This window comes from Homo sapiens, chromosome X (assembly GCF_000001405.40).
Source record: "Homo sapiens chromosome X, GRCh38.p14 Primary Assembly".
Lineage (NCBI taxonomy): Eukaryota > Metazoa > Chordata > Mammalia > Primates > Hominidae > Homo > Homo sapiens.
In genome coordinates this window covers 129,632,935-129,655,168 of record NC_000023.11, presented here as the reverse complement: position 1 = coordinate 129,655,168, position 22,234 = coordinate 129,632,935, and the positions used below count along the sequence as shown (strand labels likewise).

Genomic DNA, 22,234 nt, shown 5'->3' with positions numbered 1-22,234 from the left:
GCGCAGCCTTTGTTGTGGGGCCACCTCGGGGTTCCCTCTCGCGCTCACGCTCGGGCTGGGGCTGCAGAGTGCGTGCCTGGAGGGGGGCGGTGCGGGAGGCTCGCTCCCTCTCCCTCTTCCTGCCCCCCCTCTAGCCCTCCCGATGACCACATGACCAAGTGGGCTCGCGGCCAAGCCACAAGCTACAAAATGCAGCCCCTGGAGTGAGCGGGGAGCATTCTCTCTGGCAGCCGGGGTCACGGGCAGTTGCAGCCGCGGCCGAGCAGCCAGCCGCTAAGAAAGAGCTCGCCGCTGCCGCTCCCGGAGCCGCCGAGGCCAGCTTCGCGGCGCTGCCCCGCGGCGGGAGAGGAGGCTGCAGAAGAGCGGAGGCGGCCAGCGGGAGCGGCGGGGCTCAGCGCGCACACTCAGCGGCCGGGGAGCCTCCCGAGCTCTGCGCCCGCACGCGCCAGCCGCGGCTCGCGCCTTTCTTGGCCTCCGGGCGCCCGACCTCTCCTCCCCCGCGCCGGCTCGCCGGGGCCGCGGCGGCCCAAGGAGCAGCATGAATCTGCGGCTCTGCGTGCAGGCGCTCCTGCTGCTCTGGCTCTCCTTGACCGCGGTGTGTGGAGGTGAGTGCGCGCCCTCCCGCTCGCCCGGGCTGCAGCCGGCGTGCTCCTTTCCCTCCGCCCTATTCGCACTCTCCCCGCCTCCCGGGGAGCCCGGCGCGAGCCGTGCAGTAGCAGCCACGCGCCGGCCAGCGCCAGGCAGCAGATTGACAGAGCGCCCCGAGCCATGGGGCGGCTGGCCACAAGGACTGCTTCTTTTGCGGGGCTCAACTCGGCCTTTGGCATCACCTGCCCGTCACCTTGTCCCTCCTAACCGTCGCTCGCAGTCCCAGGAGCTCAGGACCACAGGTGTGCGCCGCGTGTCCCACGCCCTGCACCCCGCGTGGTAGAGGTGGAGGCGGGGGACATGCCCGCTCCCTCGTGGATCGATGGAAGGAACTGACCAGAGTCGAGTGGGCTGGGCTCCCATGTTGAACGTCTTCTGGTCCCTGAAGGCTGGGAGCCTCCCGCCAGTCCAGGGGCGCGGGAAACCGGGGATGATGTGCCAACATGCAGACGTGACACTTGTTGCATAGGCAGGAGTGCGCGGAGGGGGTGGCGGCATGGAGCCCAGCTGTTGCTCCTTTCGGCCTGCATGTGTGAGCAGAGGCAGCCTCCCCCAGGCAGGGCCGGGCCCAGCCGGGCTGGGCTGGTCTTCTCCTCCCTAACCCCAAGGTCCTGGCTGGTCTCCTCCCCTGCACAGGATGCCCTCCCCATAGCCTCCATCCCACCCCCAGAGACTTGGTTCTCTTACATCCTGGCTCCAGCCTTCCTTTCTGTCCCAGGCACGGACATGCTTCACTTTAGTCTCCCTGCCGCTAGGCACCAAAGGAGGAAGCACAGCACCTGACCCGACCCCTCCCTGCAGCTCAGGAAAGGGGAGTCCTTTTGCCCTCACCTGCCAATACTTGGCACTAGTGCCCATGTCCGCCCCTAGCCTGGTCCCCAACCACGCCCCAGCAGCCCCATCCCAGGCTGCCTGTCCTCTGTGTCAATGTCTCCTGGGGCTGCCAGCTCCCACCTCCAGCTGCCACAGTCCTATGATCTGGCTGTCATTGCTGCCTGCCTGGCACCACACAAGGGGAAGGCCAAGACCAGGTGGACTAACGCCAGGACCATGGCTGGAGTCACAGGGAGGTGGGAGCAGAAAGAAGGAGAAGGCAGGGCAGTGAGTTTCCTGGGGCAAGGGCACAGGGCCCTAAGTGGTTCCAAACCCTCCAGAACAGGAGGATGGCATGCAGCCCAGGAGCCTCCGAGGGGCCCAGCCAGCTCTGCCTGCCTCTCATCGCAGGCCACCTCCTTTCTCTGCTCTTGCTTTTTGGCCCTGCTGTGGCTCTGGGAACACTGCCTGGCTTCTCAGAAAGGTGCAGTGGTTGGGGCTGGCACCTCCTGCCTCCAGGTAGCTGGCCGGTGATTTCTCTATTCAAGACCTGAACACGAAGTGAGCCACCACCACAGTAAGAAGTGGGTAGGCTTTTTCCACAGAAACTCCTGTCAGGCAGGTAACAGAGGGAGCAAAAGATACGAATGTAAGATACGAATGATACACCATACCAGCCTATCCTCAGGGAGCCTACCATCTGGTGTCATTGGCAAGGCATGACACTTGCACAATACCACCACAGGCAAATAGTCCAGGGTGGTGCCTTCAGGGAAGAAGAAGACTGGGTGCAGAGAGTGTTCCAGAGGAAGGTAGGGCTCCTGGATCTGCACACTTGGTGCTCCCCCCAGAGGCTGTGGGGAGACCCCTGGCCAATAGACAACCACTCAGACCCTCCTGGGTCCCAGCCATTGGGACAGTACTAGCAAAGGGGAGAGAGCTGGTTTCAAGGGAAGGGAAGTCAGCCAGGATGCCCGAACACCATGTGGCTGGTCCAGAGCCTGCCACTTCGTGCTTTAATTCCCCCGTCTTCATTAGGTCATCTGTCCACTGTGATTTGGATAAATTCGTTGCCCTCACATTTTGCTCAAGCCTCGTGCTGGAAACTTTCAGGGCTCTCACTGACTTCTCTACTCCCTGACTTCTCCTGGAGCCAAGGAAGGGCATGTCCCTGGAAGTGGCCACCAGCCAAGGGTCCAGGTACACATGTCCTGCTCCCGCTGGCTCCTGTCCTGGGTTAGAAGCAGGAATCCCAGAACCACTTTGTCCTTGGCCCGGACTGGCATGCTGTCCCCAGCCAGAGTCCCCAGTCAAAGTTCCAGCCTGAAAACCACACTTCCTCCTCTCCACAGTCTGTCCTGACTTGAAATGTCCACCCCCGACCCCTCTCCACGCTGCCTCTCATCACCCCGCTACCACCACGTACACTCCTCCACTGCCTCCTGACCTGGGATACACTTTGCTCTTGTGAGTCTGAGAACTCCTGGTCCAGGGCCAAGTGTCCCTCGGTCTCTGAGCACCCCTCTTTTTCCCCTTCTCCTCCCCCTCCGCAGGCCCAGCTCAAAGCCTGCAGTCACAGTGGGAGTGTGAGGAGAGCCTACTGTACCCCTCCTGCTCAGGGAAGGGCATCTCTACTCCATCCCCAGTCCTCAGCACTAAGCACCCGTGTAACCTGAGCCAGGCCTCTCCTCGCAAAGAACTAAGGCAAGGGAAGCAGAGGGCCACCAGACAGAGCATGATGTATCCCAGGGCAGCAAAGCTGGCACTGGAGACAGCACAGGGCCCTGGAGAAGGCGACTGGGATGGGGGGCTGGGCAGACAAAGAGACACATGCAGGACCACAGAGCAGTGGAGGGGCATTGCCAGCAGGGTCCCCACCGGAGCATACGTTTGGGCTTTTAAAGTCATCACAAGACAGGCCAGACTGAGAGAGGAAAAACAGGTGCGTCATTCCTGATGAGACTGGCATGTTCCTGAAAAGTCGCAAGTACCTCTTTGTGCATTGGCAGGGTTGGAGTTCAGATAGCATGAAAGTCAAATCCTGTCCTCCCCCTGACTGTGGTTCTCAGCGTGGAGATGTTGTAGCTTCGTGGCTGATGGCACTTCAGCAGGCAATGGCTCCAATCTCTCTAGGCTCGAGATTGTTTGGAGGATTGCTCCAGCCTCCTTTTACGTAGCAAATGAGCTGGAAGAAAATATTTAAGTGCATTAGGGCTGGCCTCCATTTCTAAAGGGGAATTCTTTTTTACAGTCAAGACTTCTGCAGTGATGAGAATCAACAGCCTCTAATTTGTTCCTTTGGACAGCATAAAGCCAGGGTTTCAGATGTCAGCTTATCTGATGGTGAGCCAGACTCAGAATCAAAAGTAGGAAACAGGTGGGTGACGGGCTCAGAGTGCGGGAGGAGCCAGCAGATCTCGGTGATGCTGAGGACAATGAGTCCCCAACGCAATGGGAGGGATGCAAGAAGCCTGGGGCTGCTCTCCAGGGCCCGGCTGGGGGTTCAGTCAGCTCAGAGTGGTTCTTCTCTGCAGACCTAGAGTCTAGACATCTTCCTGGCCAGAGCCACCAACCCTGCTCCCCATCCTGACATATGGCCTCTAGCCCTCCCTTTCTGACTGCCAGACACTCACAATCTGAGCACCTGGAGATGATGCCCTCCCCCTCCTGGCACCATGCTTCTCTTCTCCATGTCTGCCACCACCCTGAGCTACAATGGCCTGCACCACTGCCCCATCCCTTCTGCACCCCCAGCAGTCGAAGGTGCAGAGGTGAGAGCCAAGTGTTGACTTGGTTCACTTCACAAGGCCCCTAGGTCCTTCCCCTGCTCCTTATCAGCATCATTCAGATCCGCCCTCAGTGATCAGGGTGAGCCTTGTGGGGACCCCAGAACTCAAGGCAGAGGCTGAAGCAGCTGCAGTGGGGAGCTTAGTGAAGGTCTTTCCTTCCTTTCCCTCTCCAGCCCCAGCCCCCTCACAGATGGCGCCAAGAGGGTAGCTCTATGACAGTCAGACAGAAGCAGCCCCCTTGTTCCATCCATACTTACTGCTCCAAAGTGCTAAGATAATTCTTCTTTTAATTCTCATAGGTTATGAATTTAAGGGATAAGTTGGCACGGAAGTGTGGCTAGTTAACCAAATGACCCAAGTCAACAGCGGGGTCCTCATGGGCCTGGCAATTTTTCTTGGGGAAAGAGGGAAGGAGGGTGCAGGCTTGGAGAATATGTGTTTATGTGTGTGTGTGTGGAGGGGGTGGGTATGTCTGGGTGTGAGTGGGGAGAACTGCAGGCTCAGAAGCCTGGGGGAAGAGGGCCCTAAGGCCAAACCCACCCACTTTTGGCCCAAGAGGAGGCTGAACACTTGGAAATTGTGTGCAAGCAGAGGAGGACTCACAAAAACCAAGGAGCCAAGGAAGGAACAGAGCGTGGGGATGTTGGAGGCAGAGGCAGAGGGGAAGGGGGAGCTGCCAGGGGTATGATTGGGGTGTGAGCAGCCAATGGGAGGCTCTATGGAAACTGTGAGCAAGTGGTGGGAATTCCTGGGTAGATGGCAATGGGGCTCGAGGGACAGGGATCTAGATGCAGGCAAATCAGATGGTGTGCAGGGGGAGAGAGACTGTTATTCATTATCTCTGGCCTCAGATGCTGTATCTGCACAGGCCTGTACTGGACATTGCACAAGTACCCTGCCTGGCTGCCTCTTCCCCAGCACCATCTCATCTCCACACACTGCCTGCCACCACCAGCCAGGCTTGTCTTGGGGGTGGCAGCTCAGCTTCCCTGCATGGACTGCAGGCTTCACGAGAGTCGGCCTGCATGCCTTTTCCCTCACTGCACCCAAGGATACCCTGCACCACTTGGATTCCATTGTCAGGGCTCAGTCTGGTGTCAGGAGGCCTCTACTCTAAGCCTCCTGACAGATGTGGACAGATGTAAAGAGGAGCCCCAGAGTGCAGAATAGAAGCCAGCTGGGATTGAAATGGAAGGAATTTACATGAGACACAGGATGCAGGGTGTGATCTGGGAATTTCAGGAGGTAGGGCATTGGTGGGGAGGTACCAACTGCAACAGCCCACCCCCCTCCTGGTGCACAGACATGCTGCTGAAGGTGACCATTGTTTCATTTATTCATTCTCAAATATTCATGCAATATTTATTGGTCTCTAAATCTGGTCTCAGGTCTCTAAATCTGGTCACAGCATGAGGCAGGCTGAGTCAGAGACCTCTCCCCCTTAACCCGCCTGGCCCAGCCCCATCCACTGGGAGGACTTGGCGCCCTAGAGATGCCTAACCACCGATGAGACACCCAGGGGCGAGATATGAGCTCCCTAGTACTCACAAGTGGGTCATCCTGCATATCAAAGGATGTAGGAGTACAATGACGTGATGTTCGGGATTTGCTTTAAAATACTGCAGTCAAGGAAAATAGAAAAGGGATAACTAAAGCATATGTGACTCCATCTGGATAACTGTTGAATCTGGGTGATGGGTCCATGGCGGTGGGAGGGTCATTGTAATGTCATATGTCTGAAATGTTTGAAGTGTACCAGTTGCAGGGGTGCCGTGGTGATTACTGCCTCCTGCCCCCCAGCCAAGTACAGGCGTGACAACCCAAAGTGCACACCCCCCAATGACGTTCCAAAGAAAGAACCCACTTGTGCCTGTCAGAAACATGATATAACTGTCAAAAGGACAGAAAGTCAGCTACATCAATGGCAAGATGTGAGTAGTAGGTTCCGTTTGTCCCAGGACAGTGCAGAAATGGCAAATTTTCCCTCAATATGAAAAAAAGAAACAAAGAAAATCTATGAGAAGTGCCACCACATGGACAGACCACCCCTCCCGCGGGCCTGTGGTCTGCAGCCCCTGCCCGTTTCCAACAACCTTCCTCACTAACAGGCTTTCTCCTTCCTGCAGGGTCCCTGATGCCGCTTCCCGATGGGAATGGGCTGGAAGACGGCAATGTCCGCCACCTGGTGCAGCCCAGAGGGTCAAGGAATGGGCCAGGGCCCTGGCAGGGAGGTCGGAGGAAATTCCGCCGCCAGCGGCCCCGCCTCTCCCATAAGGGACCCATGCCTTTCTGAAGCAGGTACTTGAGCCTCTGTTCAGTGGACAGTGCTAAAGCGGAGGGAGAAGGACAGCCTAGAAGCCGGGTGATCCTGCCGCTCATCACTGGCCAGACACATCCATCAAACAGTCCTGGCGCCACACTCACAGAGGCTTAGAGCTGGCAAGAGAGCTTATGGGGCAGCTGTCTAGCCCCTTTATTTTACAGACGATCTCCTCGTCTGAGGCCTAGAGAGGGGCTTGATACTTGGGGCCAGTCTCCCTTCCACCCTGCTGCCTGGGGTTGGGGAGGCTGGCCTGCTTAGAGATTTCTAGACATCCTGGTGGACCTTAATGGCTGGGGAGGGGTGCCCAGGGCAAACCTACAGATGTCCAGTGTAGATTGTCGCCAGAGTTGGGGAAGGAGGCAGAGAGCTCTAGGGGCTCTCAGGCAGAGAACAAGAGGACAGTTGTGGCTGTGGTTGCCCGGAGCTGTGAGAAGGAGGGAAGAACCAAGGTGGCAGCAGAGAGAGGAGAGCTGAAGCCTGCCCCTTCCCTGGTCTGCTGGCTGTCCCACTGCAGTGGGGACAGGCAGGCACCAACTCAGGGGCCTTGGGATTGAGGTTTGGGCTGAGTGGAGTTTGGGGGAAAGAGAAGGCGGTCTCCTCTCTCCTCTCCTTTCCTGGGGAGTTCCTTTGGCCTAGGATATGTCCATGACTTCTCTCTTGTCATTTTTGTCTCCTTAGGACTGAAGGGGCCCCCAAGTGCCCACCCCCGGCGGTTATGTCTCCTCCATAGATTGGTCTGCTTCTCTGGAGGCCTCACGTCCATTCAGCTCTCACCTCGCACCTGCTGTAGCCACCAGTGGGCCCAGCTCTTCTCACCTGCCTGCTTCCCCCAGTGGCGTGCTCCTGGCTGTAGTTTGGATGATTCCCGTTCTCTCACAAGAATCCGTCCAGTCCATCTTCCTGGCCCCTCCCTGGACTGACTTTGGAGACCTAGCCCCAGAAAGCCTCCCTTCTTCTCCAGGTCCCCTCCGCCCTAGTCCCTGCCTGTCTCATCTAACGCCCCAAACCTTCATTTGGGCCTTCCTTCCTCATGTCTGCCCTGAGCGCGGGGTGGAAGTGCTCCCTTCTGTGGGCTCCAGCAGATCCCTTGTTTTCCTGTCAGTTGGACCCCTCACCTGGCCTCCAGGGAAGAATGCAGAGAAAAGCAAGGAGAGACTCTAGTTAAGAGGTGCTGGCTGCGGGGATCCAGACAGGGCACATTGGGGGCATGGAAGTGCCAGGGTGGTTTTCAGGAGCTCTGGTGAAGTGGGTGGAGCATCAGCGTTTGCTCAGTTAAGGGAGAGGTAGAGAGGGGCCCGTGAAGTCCTTTGTCACTTCTCTTGCCTTAGTGTGCCTCCCAATACTCCCTTCTTCCTGCCCCCACACCCCATCCCCAGCTAGCCCAAGCTCCAGGTCAGGAGGGGAGGGTGCTGGGCCTGACATGGCTATATACCCTCCCAGGAGTAAAAGCCAAGCAAGAGGTTGTTTTTGCCAAGAATCACAGAATGTTAGAGCTGACAGGACCCTTGAAGGTCACTTAGCCTTCTTAGGCAAACGCCTGCAAAACAGAAGCCTGGAGAGGGGAGTGACCTGCTCAGAGTCATTGCAGAGCCGGGATGGGGACCAGGTCTCCCATCTCCTACTTTATGACGCCCTCTTCCCTCTTGATGATGTCTTTTCAAAGCAAATGAAGTGCCTTTTCCCGAGGCTGGGGCTGGGGGTGGCTGGGAGGGGAAGGGAAGGGAGAGGCAAGCTGGCTGTGAACTGTCCTGTTGTGGGGCTGGAGCTGCTCCCACCTCCCTGACCTACCCCTGCTGCACCATTCCCCCAGCTGGGCTGGAAGGTTCCATAACTGGCCAGCTGCCCCCATAACTGGCAGCATTCCCAGACCCAGGGTACTCTAATAGGGGCGGCTCAGGCACTGAGACTACCGCTCAACCCCAGGGTGGTTTTCAGGAGTCCGAGGTAGCCTTCAATCACTGGACTCCATGGCCTTCCCTTCGTGTTGACCGGACCTTCCTTCCAGGGCTTTTCCTTTGGGGGAGGCGGAGAGGGGAGAAGAAGGAAGGGAAGGGCAGAAGGAAGGAGGGAAGAAAAGAAAGCAAAGGAACAGAAGGAAGGAAAGAAAGATGGGAGGAAGTGCAGCAGGAATAGCACCCTCTCCCCGGGAGGCCCTAGCTTCCGTGAGGGGCCATCACCAGCCATTCCTTGGAGGGGGCTTTCTCCCCTTTTGCTTGAGCAGGGTTCCCAGGAGGGAGAAAGAGAAGACAAGAGCCTGATGCCCAACTTTGTGTGTGTGGGGACGGGGGAGTCAGGGCCCCCCAAGTCCCACAATAGCCCCAATGTTTGCCTATCCACCTCCCCCAAGCCCCTTTACCTATGCTGCTGCTAACGCTGCTGCTGCTGCTGCTGCTGCTTAAAGGCTCATGCTTGGAGTGGGGACTGGTCGGTGCCCAGAAAGTCTCTTCTGCCACTGACGCCCCCATCAGGGATTGGGCCTTCTTTCCCCCTTCCTTTCTGTGTCTCCTGCCTCATCGGCCTGCCATGACCTGCAGCCAAGCCCAGCCCCGTGGGGAAGGGGAGAAAGTGGGGGATGGCTAAGAAAGCTGGGAGATAGGGAACAGAAGAGGGTAGTGGGTGGGCTAGGGGGGCTGCCTTATTTAAAGTGGTTGTTTATGATTCTTATACTAATTTATACAAAGATATTAAGGCCCTGTTCATTAAGAAATTGTTCCCTTCCCCTGTGTTCAATGTTTGTAAAGATTGTTCTGTGTAAATATGTCTTTATAATAAACAGTTAAAAGCTGACAGTTCGCCCTTACTCTTGGAGGTCATGTTCAGGAGGGGCATTCCTTTCCCCTGGGGGTCATGGGTGTCCCCATGCCCACATATTGCACGTGCAGGGAGGTAAGTGCCTGCATCCCAAATCGGTTCTAGGTCAACTGGCCTCAAACTGATTTGCCATGAGCTCACAAAATGAATCCCTATGCTTAATGACCAGGTCACATAAAATCCAGCCCACTTACAGGTTTTCTGGCATCTGTTTGGGTGTCCTAATTTTTTTGGCAGTGTCATTTGAAGAATTTTTTTAAAGCAGTTTATTTAAGAACATACTGATTAAATGCAGGATCGCTACTAAAAATTGTTTTGTATCCTTGGTGGGTGTCTTCTGCTATTTTATCTACTTTTGAACACTTTCAGGACTTTTTAGCCAGTTTGCCTTTCTTGAAAAATGTTATGTTTTCAGCAATAAATACATTTGATAATGACTTTGTTTGTATCATTTTATGTTTCACAAAGTAGAGTTGCTTGATGAATGAGATAGCCTGAAAAATAAAATGCAAAGAGTTCAATATAATTCTGCCCCATCTGTCTCATCACTTCACGTTTGTTGTCAAAATGCCAATATCTTGCAGAACAGAAGGGAACATTGGGTACATGCTAATTTGGTTAATAAACCCATTAGGTGCACACAGGAATACACAGTACAGAGCAAAACTCAGTGAGAAGCAGAGAGGAGGGATCAAAATGGGTTCATTTGATAAATCTCGTGGGAAATCCTATAGATTTGACAAGTATTTAGTGCTAGAAATATACAATTTTAAAGAAAGGGTCTTCAAACAAACTCCCTAAAAAGTCATAAAAATGATCAATAGGAGAGAAAAATAGAAAAAGTCACCCACAAGCATACAAAACAATCTCATTATTGACAAAATGCTGCAAGTTGTGATAGTGATTTAAAAATGCAATGTTACGGCTGGGAGCGGTGGCTCACACCTGTAATCCCAGCACTTTGGGAGGCCGAGGCAGGCAGATCACTTGAGGTCAGGAGTTTGAGACCAGCATGGCCAACATGGTGAAACTCCGTCTCTACTGAAAATACAAAAATTAGCTGGGTATGGTGGCAGGTGCCTGTAATCCCAGCTACTCGGGAGGTTGAGGCAGGAGAATTGCTTGAACACAGGATGTGAAGGTTGCAGTGAGCCGAGATCACACCACTGTACTCCAGCCTGGGTGACAGAGCCAGACTCCATCTCAAAAAAAAAAAAAAAAAAAGTGATGTTACATTGGAAGTGCCTCTTAGGAAAACTGGTGCAAAATGCCTTATTTTAAAATTACTAGTTTGACTTTTAGGCAAACAGGTGGAACTGGTTTTAAGCAGAGGTTTCAGGTGGACTGGCTTTATGCTGATTAGTCTGTTACCTGCCTAATCATCCCCAAAGTTCTAAATTCACGTGAAAGCAAGGAGAAGGGAGTGGGGCATGGGGCAGGACAACTTAATACTGACCCATAAGGGTACAGTGAATTAGATAAGTGAATCTAGAATCTGGTCTTCAAATTCCAGAATGCAAACTCTTTCTACAGTACTACAGAAGGTCCCCTAACTAGAAAGAAGAATTAGGTACAATTTGATATTCTTTTTTTTTTTTTTTTTCCGAGACACAGTCTTGCTCTGTCTCCCAGGCTGGAGGGAAGGTAGTGGCGCAATCTCGGCTCACTGCAACCTCCACCTCCTGGGTTCAAATGTTTCTCCTGCCTCACCCTCCCAAGAAGCTGGGATTACATGCACCCATCACCATGCCTGGGTAATTTTTTGTATTTTTATTTATTTATTTATTTTTATTATTATTATTATTTTTAGTAGAGACAGGGTTTCACCAGGTTAGCCAGGCTAGTCTTGAGCTCCTGACCCGAAGTAATCCGCCTGCCTTGGCTTCCCAAAGTGCTGGGATTACAAGCATGAGCCACCATGCCCAGCTATGTTTGTTATTCTTAGTAAGTACAATACAAACTCATAGTACAAGAGGGCACAGTGTGGACTGGTGGGATCAGGGAAAGCTAATAGAGGCTGAGTGATAAAAACAGGCCCTAGAAGGCACAATAGCATTTGGTTAAGTTGGTGAAAGGATGATGGGCAGAGACGGCGGGGACAAGGAAGGGGGAGCAGCCACCAGGGTCTATGGAACCTACGTAGTCAACTGGATACTATTGGGTGGATCCAAGTGTGACCTCCTTGGGGCAGGGGATAAGGAAAAGAAAGTTGGTGGCTTCTGTAAAGATAATTAGACCTCAAACCAAAAGAAGGCTGAACATATGATATGCGTTGCTACTACCCTTTGGAGATATCTAGACCAAATAAATACAACAGAAGCAGAGTAGGGCATTGCTTTTCAAAATGCAGAGCTTAGGAAAAGAAATAGGAGTTCACTTAACTGATTGTTTCTGGACCGGAGGTCCTGAACTGAGAGGTTGACGAGTGGGGGCAGAGAATCTGAAAACCAACACTCTTTCAAATCCATCCGGAATTAGGCAGCCTCTGAAATGACAGAGATTAGGGAGGCAAACAGACTCAGACCACACACAGCTTTTCAGGACCCCAGGTGTGGTGTAAAATGAGCCATAACTGCTTAGAAATCTAACATTTCAGACTCTTCTGTAGGCCTAGCTGGCTTGGTACCCCCTGTAGGGGCTGGGCTCCTCCGTATTGAGGGAACCATGAGGCCTGGCCTGAGCAGCCATTCTGAAGTCCTTATAGAATTCGATTCTCCAAGCCTAAAGGTTACTCAACTGAAATTTCTCAATCCAAAGTTTCTTTCTGACCAGAGTGTGCCTGTGCCAGCTAACTGCCAAAGGAGATGGCAGAGATTTACTCAGTATCTTCCTCTCCTGGCTTGAGAAGGGCCGCTGACTCAGCCAGCATTTCTTGGTAACTCTTGAAAGGAAGGCTTCTTCTCTAGGACTCCTTTGAAAATCCAGCTTTTCCTATGCAGTGGCCAGTGCTCAGAGAAGGAGCCCAGCAAGGGACTCCCCTTGCCGCTGTCTTGGACTTCAGCCAAAGGCCCAAGCCGCATCCAGGACACTTCCTTGAATGTTTCAAATCAGCCGCCAACAGACTTTTTCTGTAAAGAGCCAGATAGTTTTCTTGACTTTTTGAGCCATATGGTCTCTATCTCAACTCAAACCTCTTTGAGTTTGATGCTGCTGCCTACTTTTTAGCACTGTGATCAGGATTGACTGTGATGATGCAGGTAAAGTTTTTGGCACATGCAAAAGCAGCCATACACAATACATACACCAGTGGACATGACTGTGTTCCAAAAAAATCTTTATAAAAGCAGGTGGCTTCCCAGCCCTGTCTCAAATGAAGCATCAGCAAGCCCTTCAACTCAGCCCCTGAACCCTTGCCTGGAGTCCAAGGGGAAGACTTACATTCTGCAGCAAGGTGTAGAATTAAGTGATTTAATACACTGGTTATGAGATGGCCTCTGATAATAATCATACTAACAAAGTGATTCCAGTGGAAGGGGAAGTCTGGAGTCAGATCAGGGTTCAAATCCTGGCACTACCATTTACTCACCTGTGTGACCTTGCAGCAAGGGTCTTGATCTGGATGAGCCCATGTTTCTGCTTTAGGCAGGATGCTGCTGCCCAATTTATAGCACTGTGGTCAGGATTGACCGCGATGATGCAGGGAAAGTGTTTGGCACAGTGCCCGGCCCATGTTACAAGCCTACCAAGTGGGAGCTATTATTATCTCTGTTAAGCCTCATTCTAGCCCTGAGAACTGGACAGGGCAGCCATCATTACCCCAATTTATAGATGAAAAATCAGGCTCATGGAGGTGAGGTCACTTGTTCAAATTCATAGAGCCACTCATGGGTGAGTAGAGCTTCAAACCTGGGTCTGTCCCCGGCTCAGGTCAGCTGCTGCTATGGTTTGAATGCATCCTTCAACTTCATGTTTTGGAAATTTAATCCCTAAATTCATATGTTGATGGTATTTGGAGGTGGTGCCTTTGGTAGGTAATTAAAATTAAATAAGGTCATCAGGGTTGTGCCCCTATGATGGAACTGGTGGCTTTATAAGAAGAGGAAGAGAGACCTGAGCTGGCACACTCTTGCCCTCTTGCCATGTGATGCCATTCTACCACGTCATGATTTAGCAAAAAGTCCCTCACCAGACGCCAGTGCCATGCCCTTGGACTTCCCAGCCTCCAGAGCTGTGAGCTAAATAAACTATTTTTTTTATAAGTTACCCAGTCTGTGGCTACAGAAAACAAACTATGATAGCTTCCCTGCTTCTGCTAAGGGTCCTCTTTCCCACCATGAGTGTGCCTCAGTCACTAGAAATTTCCGGTCTCCCAGATAACCTTTAGGGCCTCCCCAGGGACAGATTACGTCCTCGGCATTTTTCCTTGTAGAAGCTTAGCTTGGGCAGCAGCCCAGGAGGCCTCTCCAAAGGTGTTAAGTGCTCACCATTAGCACCTGATCTGTCTGGAATTGTGGAGCCAGGCACCTGTTCCAGCACACCTGCTTGGCCATTGGGGTTCCTTTCTGCACAAGGCCAGGGGCTCAGAAACGTGGGTTCCAGTCCTGAATCTGCTTCTACCCAGGGCTTGCTGGGTAGCTTAGCAAAGTCTTTCCTTGGCCCTTTCTGGGTCTCAGCCTCCTCACCTGCCCAGGACACCTGGGTGGGTAGATGTGAAGCACCTGCTTGTGACTAGGGATTTGTTGGGGTCCCAGCTAACAGTGGGGGGTGATTCAGGCTGCCCTCCAGAGGCAATTCAGGACCTGACCCAGGGACCTGTAGGGAGGAGCTCTGGGAGAAGAATTAGGCATATGGCAGGAAAATGGGAACCTAAGCCAGTGAGGAAGTCCACTGCTGGGTTACGTGGGTTGCACAAGCTTCCCATAACCCCAGGGCCTGCTGGAACCTCCATTCCATACTTCTCCCTTTGCACAAATTAAATGCTTTCTGATCTTCCCTGAATGTTAAAAAATTGGCACACTGCTGCAGAGCTAGCCTGGTGGTGTGAAACTTGGGGTTCTGAGCTCTGGATCCTAACCCCAGCTTGGTCAGTAACTGGCTGTGTGACTCCAGGCAGGTCTGTTCATCTATCAGGGGTCCTGGTTCTCCCTCATCTATTTTCATAGGATGACAATCTCTGCTTTCCCTACCTTAAACACACAGAATCATAGAAGGGCAGAGCTGACATGAGCCTGAGAGATCATTCAGTACCCTAAGCCCTGTTATTTTTACAAATGAAGAAAGTGGGACTCAGAAAGGATAAGTGAACGCTTAAGGAACATAGCTAGATAGTCCTAGCAAACTCATGTAGAGCGCTTCTCATGTGCCAAGCACTGTTTGAGGAACTTCACCTGTCCTGACTTAGTCAGTCCCCATCACAATCCCATTTTATAGCTGAGGAAACTGAGTCACTGAGAAGGTAAGCCATTAGTCTAAAGATCTTCTGTGGTATGTGCAAACGAACTGAGAGAAACAAGGTGGCATTGCTTTAAAGGAAGGCAAAGGCACTGCTGAAATGCCAAGCATTCCCTCCAGGGCTGCAGTCACCTCTCGTCTGTAGGGGAGGGGCTTCGCTTTGGCACCCTCAGTCCCAGGGCAACAGAACTGCTTGTGATTTGGGGGCTGTGAGAGGCCTGTTGGAAAGAGGGTGCCTCTTTTTCCATCTAGGCAGAGACATCTCTGGCTCCCTCCCCAGCAGGTGTAGGGATAGAGGCTGGTGACTTTGGCATACGTTATGGGGGGTTTCATCCCCCATGTCTCTAGGCTCCTGAGCTTTCTGGAAGCCTGGAGTTCCTCTCTCCTTTGGAAATTCCCAACTCCTCAGATGTGAGGGATATGGAAAGATAAGAGAGGATAAACAAAGCAGGGAGGAAAAAGGTCCCAGTGAGGAGTGCAGGGGGATGGAGGAGGGAATCTCACCACACAGCCCCTTCCACCTCCAGCACTGCAGAGACCTTCTGATCTGATTATCCTCTTTCATCCTTCCCTCTACTCTGGGCTACCCTCTAGCTCAGCTCCACAGCCTGCCCCACCCCCATTCCCACTCCCAAATTGCCTGTCAAGTTTTAGGTCCCATGCCTTGTGTAAGTTTCAAAAGGAGCTCCCCTTCTCTCAATCTATGCCCAAACTTTTAGAACCCAAGCCTATAAAGAGCTCTTTGGCCTACCCCTACCCCAAAACAATCAGCTAAAAAATGCCTACCCTTGGCCAGGCGTGGTGGCTCATGCCTGTAATCCCAGCAGTTTGGGAGGCCGAAGTGGGTGGATCATCTGAGGTCAGGAGTTCGAGACTATCCTGGCCAACATGGCAAAAACCCGTCTCTACAAAATACAAAAATTAGCTGCGTGTGGTGGTGGGCACCTGTAGTCCCAGCTACTCAGGAGGCTGAGGCGGGAGAATCCGTTGAACCTGGGAGGCGGAGGTTGCACCACTACACTCCAGCCTGGACGACAGAGCAAGACTCCATCTCAAACAAACAAGCAAAACAAACAACAGCAAAAGAAAAAAAAAAAACGCCTACTCTGTGCAGGACACCATGCAAGGGACAGTGGAGGAGGAACAGTGGAGAAAGACTTGGTCCTCACCTTTCCTCTGGGAGGCACCAGCGAAAGGTGTGTGGTGAGGGTGTGACATCCCTCATTAGCTGTTGTAGCCACAGCGCCCTCTGTACCACTCCCCCGCAACCCCAGGGATGTTCTCCTGGCCCTGAGCCTGCGCACCGGCCTCAGCAGGACCTGCGAGGGAGGGAGCTTCATACCCATCTTTTAGGAAGCAGAAGCAGGGAAAGCCTCAGCCTAAGTCACCCAAAACCCATTTCCAGTGCTCTTCTAGTTTCCCCAGACTTCCCTTCCCAGGTTCTCCACCTTCCTCCAATTCTCCGGGTCCTCCAACTGCCAGCCAAGGCTCCCCTCCCCCATGAATCCTCCCTGGATGCTCTCCTAGCCCCGATGGTCACCTGCAGGTGAGGCCAGAATTGGAACCCAGACTTCTGCCCGCCACCTTCAAAAGCCTTTGTGCTCGCCAACTGTACACCTCCTCACCAGACTAGGCATGGCCATAGCCACAATGGAGGTGACGATGCTGACAGTGATAATGAGGGAATGTAATGATCATACCTTCCAGCATGGGATGCGGAGACTTAAACATCCTGACTCCTCCAAGTTCCAAGCCTGGGTCAGTCACTTCACCTTTCTAGGCCTCAGCTTTACCTTTTCTAAAATGGAAGTAAGAATCCCTGGCTCCCTCTCGGGCTTCTAGTGACTGAAGTTTCTGAAGTTAAAATGTTTGGTACAGTAGAGAGTGCTGTGTGTGTAACGGGGAAAAAACCCCATCGTTCTCAGCGGGTACCATGAAGACCACCCTGTTTGCATGTGAAAGTGCTTTTTGATCTGTAAAAGAGCTATGGGAATTCATTTCTCAGCATTCGCTGAATGTTTATTGAGGGCCTACTTTGTACCACATTCCTTAATACCTGGAGAGGGAAACAGATGTTATTCAAAAATCACAACCGAATGTCTAACCAGGAACTGTGGCAAGGGCCCTGGAGGCGAAAAACAGGCCTCTAGGAAGTTTATCACTGAGTGCACGATCTGGGGTCAGAGAAAGCTTCCTGGAGGTGAAGTGGGAGCTGACACCTCAGGAGTGAGTAGGGGTTAAGCTGGAGAAAGGAGGTCTCAGCAGAGGGAGCACAGGGCTTGTGTCCAAAGCACCAAGGTGGGAGGAAGCAGATGTGATTTATTGTTAAACCCATTTCACAGACAACGAAGCAGGCCCTGAGAGAGGCTGTGACTTGCAGAATGAGAGATTCCACTGAACTCCTGTGTGCTGGCTGATTCCCTCTGTGGCTCTAGGCTGGGCAAGCAGGATGTACTATGGTCACTAAGACATCCTCTTCTGATAACTTGCCCCAGACTCTATCAATTCACCAGCTGAATATGAGGGGCTGAGAATTCCTCACCCACAGGAGTGGCTGGCTACATGCATCTGGGTCAGCTTGATGGCCGGACACTCTGGAAACTTCTTATATGTTTCCCTTTCTTTGCAGTCGGCCTCTCTTTCTTCTCCAAGCCTGCTTATTCTTTGGGGGAAACCCAGTGTGTCATGAGAGGCTGCCCCCTGCTGGCTGAGTCCTGGAACTGCAGGGACTTCTTCAGGCTTGCGTCAAGTCTAGGCACAGGCCATTTTAAGAAAGTTCCCGAGGTCATCTCCTCTTTCCTGTTCTGCAGGAGGTGTGAGAACGAGCAAACGCCAAAGTGTGTGTAGAGGAGTGGCTGACTGGCGTTCATCAAAGACGACTTTTTTAATGGGGGCAGCTCTAAAATTGCTTCTGCTCCAAGATTCTGAGTCTGAACAATTTTGTGGGTGTGCCCCACTGACTTGAGAGGATGCCTCTACAGGTCATGGGCATACGTGGGCTCCATGCATGTGCTTGTGTGAACACCGAATGGGTATGCATATTTGCTCCACGCTGTGTAGCATATTATAGTCCGTATGCATGTTCACTGAGAGAGGGAGAGAAGTTGCCACCCAGAGGCACCAGGGGTGAAGTCTGTGAGGGCAGAGGGCAGCATCTGGGTCTCCAAGGCCAGGCCAGGCCCCATTTGCATCCTTACAGGACTGTCCTAGGCTGTCTGGCCCTCGAGCTGTCCCAAGGAGCTCTTCCCTCAGTGAACCCCATGTTCCCACCAGTTTTCCCCCTACCAGATACACCAACCCTGCCCACCCCCCCACCACCAGCTGCTGTGGGAAATCTCATACCTTCTGGTGGCCATAGGCAGATCTGATTCCTGCGTGTGCTCATGGGACCTCTCAGGGAGCAAACCCTCCCTTCACCCGGCCCCTGCCAAGGCCCACATCCAGGGCTGCTGTTTTCCTCTATCTGGGCTGGTGCATCCCTATAGCGTGTTTCTGGCCAGCAAACATTCTAATCAGTTGGTGTCCAGACCTTGCTGGCTATTAAAGATTTTTCACTATTGCCCCTGTCCAATTCCCATACTCCCAGGTAACGTGTGCATTTTAACCTGGAGCTTCATGAGGCCATGAGTTAGGGCGTTACTCTTGTTCTCAGGCAAAGTTTTTTTTTTTTTTAAACAATCCTTTCTCATTGCTCCTCCAAATGGCATGAAAACACTAGCCCACCTTGCTAGTCTCGGCAAGCAAAATCCCTTGGTGAGGCCATGAGCCATCCGTTAAATACTTGAGCTATTAAGTTGAAAGCAGAAGTGTCAGATCACAGTTGAATGACCCCCTTGGACTTTGCCCAAAGGGAAAGCTTTCTGAGTGAGCTCAGAGGGATGGGAGCTCTGGAGGCTCCAAGTTCAGCTCCAAGTGAGTGCTCACACGCAGGCCGAGCCTTGTCCTTTGCCCATGGGTGGAGCACACCAGCCACTCCCGCCGCATTTCTAGGAAATACCCCCTTCTGCTCCCTGGCTTTGGCCTCAACTCCTCCTTGCAGAAGTGCAGACAGTGGAAAGCTGATTTTCATAGGTTATTGTCATGCTGGGCTCCTCCTCCGCCCAGCCCATGACTTGCTCCTTCCCAACTGCTGTCCTCCCCTTATGGCGGCCCTGGGGACTGTGAGGTGGTGTGACAGAGAGAAAGCTTCCATCCCAGTTGTGCCACTTGGTAGGTGAGCCACTCTCCCGCTCTTAGCTTTACTTCCCATTATCTATCACAGGGGATGGTAACTGTGCCCTTTGCTGTTGTCTTTAGGCCCAATTGAGACATGGATCCAAAAGTACTTGGAAAGGAAAACTATTGCTGGAAGCACGCAAGTGGTGATGAGCTCAAAGCTCAGAGGTGCTACCCTCAGCCAGCTCTCTGGTCAGCACAGAATCTTACCCTTGCCAGAGTCCCTTTCTGATTTTCCGTGTGCAGGAAGATTAGTGACCCATAGTCATATAGAATCCCAAGCTTGTCAGGGACTTTAGTTGGGCCATCAAGGGATAATACAAGCTACCATTTCTTGAGCAATTATATGTTAGGTACTGTTCTAAGTGCTTTATATATTATACGCATTTCATCCCCACAACAAGCCCATGAGGAAGAAACTCTTATCATTCCCATTTACAAATGAGGAAATCAAGGCTCAGTATGATTAAGTGAATTGCCCAAAGTCACACAGCTGGTAAACTGAGCCAAGATTTGAAGACTGGCTATCTGGCTCCAGAATCTGAGCTCTGAATCATTGTGCTCTGCGGGCTCTACATGGCCCTCACTGAGCAGGATTTTTTGCCTCTGCTTGTACATCTCCAGTGATGGGGAGCTCATTGCTTCCCAACGTAGCCTGTTCTAACTTCACTTAGCTGTGGCTGCTGGAAACTTCTAGCATGTCTGGCCAAGCCTTTGGTGATCCAGACCACACAAAGATCTGTTTCCTGAAGGCTTAAGCAGGGGATAGGTGAAAAACAGGAGGCTACAGAAAGCAAGTATTCTCCCTGTACCCCTCGACACACAGAGACCCCCCGATTCCATTCCTTTGGGCATGTCAACTCCTTTTCCTCCAGTGGAGGTTGACACAGGAAGTAAGATGGTCCCCTCCACCTCAATATACTTTTCAATTGAAGAGAGTTGGTGAGCCCACCTGTTTGCTCCAGTTAGAGCCTCGGACATACGCAGTGCCCACTGTATTAATGAGCGTGCACTAAATACTGAATGAACGAATGAATGAATGAATGGGCATGTGAATGAAGAACAGGCTCACAGCCTCCTTTCCTGCCAGCCTCAGTCTCCTGGAAGAGTTAGTTTTGCACTGTGCTTTGAGATCCTGACAAGCAGCATTTCCATGGTAACGAGGCATAGACCTGCCAGTCTGCAGGGCCAAATTCTTTCCTGTCACATGGACTGTTAGCTCGCTCCGGAAAAGATCCTAAACTACTGTCAGTGTATGCAGAGCAGGTCACTGTCAGCTGGGAGACCCTCAGAGTAGGCACTGCTGGGCAGATCTCCCAGTGCCTATCTCCTCTGGGAACTTCCCGGACTGATCGACCTTACTGGAGTTTCCATGGTAACAACACTAGGCTAATGGGTTGCCAGGGTGATGGTGTGCTACTGCTAAGATTGCATGGACTGGACCACACAGGGCCACTGAGTTGAAAAGATGCTAATAACACCTTTTGAGTTTCCATGACAACAACACTCGAGCACCGGGTAGGCTTTGTCCCAAATGCAGATTAGGCCCCCGCCCTCCACACTCTGGGAGAACGCCCTGGGAGGTTGGGCCACTGGGAACTGTCGTACCCTCCTAAAGGAAAGAGGTGGCCAGGGCCTGTTCCTCCTCCTCAGCCTCTTCCCTGCCCAGGGCCCCTTGCCATACTGTTCCTCAGGGCATCTGGTGGAAGTAGCCTGGTTTTGGGCAGTTGGAACTGTCAGAGAGGAGTTCTGGGACAGAAAGACAGCTCAGGATGGGTGGTGTGGGAGAAAATGGAGCTTTGGGGTACCTTTGGGATCCAGTGCCTCTCTTGGTGTATCTGCTCCCAGGCCAGGGAACTCATGCACTCTGGGATTGAGGAAGTGGCCAAGGAGCTCTCTTTCCCTATCAAAGCCAAAAGCATGCGGTCAGAGTTTTCAAACTTTTTTTTTTTTTTTTTTTGAGATGGAGTCTCGCTCTCTTGCCCAGGCTGGAGTGCAATGGCACGACCTCGGCTCACTGCAACCTCCGCCTCCCAGGTTCAGGTGATTCTCCTGCCTCAGCCTCCTGAGTAGTAGCTGGGATTACAAGTGCCTGCCACCACGCCCAGTTATTTTTATTTTTATTTTTATTTTTGTATTTTTAGTAGAGACGGAGTTTTGCCATGTTGGCCAGGCCCGTCTCAAACTCCTGACCTCAGGTGATCCACCTGACTCGGCCTCCCAAAGTGTTGGGATTACAGGCGTGAGCCACTGTGCCTGGCCTCAAACTGTTTTTTTAAAGCCTTGGCACATATAAATTCCATCAAAGCAGGCTCAGGGGCCCAGAGCCCCACCCATTCAGTCTCATCCCTCTCCCTACCACAGAGTTCCCTGAGGCACCCAAGCTTCTGTGGAACACAATTTGAAAAACCTCTGGTCTAGGCCACTCCATCTCATAGTCCAGACAGAGAGGCTGAGAACCAGAAAGGGCAAGTGACTTGCCCAAGGCCCCATCGCCAGCCATTAGGACAGTCAGAGCTAAAACAAGAGTCTCACGTTTGTAGGGTTACTCCCAATCCACCAGGACGTTATTGACCTCTAACTTGGGTTCTCTGACTTCCAGAAGACCACTGGAGCTTCTGCCCTTCCACTTATTCATGGATCTGGGGATCTGGGGAGGAGAGAAGTTTCCGTTGTGGGGGCAGGCACAAATGTTTAGAACGAACCTTCCAGATGTGACATTTTTAAGCACCTACTAAGTGCTAGCCATTATGGTAGGATATGCTTTCTATGCTGGTTGGTTGTCATCTTTTTCTTTTTTCTTTTCTTTTTTTTTTTTTTTTTGAGACAGGGTTTCACTCTGTTGCCCAGGCTGGGGTACAATGGCGCGATCTCACTGCAACCTCCACCTCCTGGATTCAAGAGATTCTCTTGTGTGCCATCACGCCTGGCTAATTTTTTTATTTTTAGTAGAGACGGGGTTTCACCATGTTGCCCAGGCTGGTCTCGAACTCCTGACCTCAGGTGATCTGCCCGCCTCAGCCTCCCAATGTGCTGGGATTGTAGGCATGAGCCACAGTGCCTGGCCCTGGTTGTCATCTTATCTCTTCTTTATAAAAAGTTATTGAGACAGGCATGGGTATCTTCAACAGATGAGAAAACAAAAGCTCAAGGGGAGTAAACTGAAGCTTGGGTGTATTAAACATTGAACATCTCTTTAGCAGGGACGTCTCCTTACTAGCTCCAGGAGGGACCACTGGGATGA

General features: G+C 52.3%; 1 protein-coding gene across 1 annotated transcript, besides 6 other annotated features; it reads left to right on the top strand.

The window, feature by feature from the left end:
* Nucleotides 213-9,910, top strand: APLN (apelin). The gene is made up of 3 exons (NM_017413.5): nt 213-605; nt 6,377-6,548; nt 7,252-9,910. Exons 1-2 carry the CDS (start codon nt 539-541, stop codon nt 6,541-6,543), a joined length of 234 nt encoding a protein of 77 aa, NP_059109.3. The 5' UTR covers nt 213-538; the 3' UTR covers nt 6,544-6,548; nt 7,252-9,910.
* Nucleotides 372-451: a silencer, noted in NCBI's record as "silent region_20977". NCBI's record gives its function as "represses an Ori minimal core promoter by ATAC-STARR-seq in GM12878 lymphoblastoid cells {active_cell/tissue: GM12878}" and the evidence as "EXISTENCE:reporter gene assay evidence [ECO:0000049][PMID:35858748]".
* Nucleotides 542-591: a silencer, noted in NCBI's record as "silent region_20976". NCBI's record gives its function as "represses an Ori minimal core promoter by ATAC-STARR-seq in GM12878 lymphoblastoid cells {active_cell/tissue: GM12878}" and the evidence as "EXISTENCE:reporter gene assay evidence [ECO:0000049][PMID:35858748]".
* Nucleotides 882-941: an enhancer, noted in NCBI's record as "active region_29915". NCBI's record gives its function as "activates an Ori minimal core promoter by ATAC-STARR-seq in GM12878 lymphoblastoid cells {active_cell/tissue: GM12878}" and the evidence as "EXISTENCE:reporter gene assay evidence [ECO:0000049][PMID:35858748]".
* Nucleotides 4,716-5,215: an enhancer, noted in NCBI's record as "H3K4me1 hESC enhancer chrX:128783931-128784430 (GRCh37/hg19 assembly coordinates)". NCBI's record gives its function as "activates a minimal SCP1, AML or CMV promoter by ChIP-STARR-seq in primed H9 embryonic stem cells {active_cell/tissue: H9 hESC(primed)}" and the evidence as "EXISTENCE:reporter gene assay evidence [ECO:0000049][PMID:30033119]".
* Nucleotides 5,216-5,717: an enhancer, noted in NCBI's record as "H3K4me1 hESC enhancer chrX:128783429-128783930 (GRCh37/hg19 assembly coordinates)". NCBI's record gives its function as "activates a minimal SCP1, AML or CMV promoter by ChIP-STARR-seq in primed H9 embryonic stem cells {active_cell/tissue: H9 hESC(primed)}" and the evidence as "EXISTENCE:reporter gene assay evidence [ECO:0000049][PMID:30033119]".
* Nucleotides 17,398-17,567: a silencer, noted in NCBI's record as "silent region_20975". NCBI's record gives its function as "represses an Ori minimal core promoter by ATAC-STARR-seq in GM12878 lymphoblastoid cells {active_cell/tissue: GM12878}" and the evidence as "EXISTENCE:reporter gene assay evidence [ECO:0000049][PMID:35858748]".

Bases quoted from the DNA above. Each gene is read 5' to 3' on its own strand.
- APLN (NM_017413.5), top strand. From the start codon at position 539: ATGAATCTGCGGCTCTGCGTGCAGGCGCTCCTGCTGCTCTGGCTCTCC. The intron at 606-6,376 runs GTGAGTGCGCGC...TCCTTCCTGCAG, and splicing joins CTTGACCGCGGTGTGTGGAG to GGTCCCTGATGCCGCTTCCC.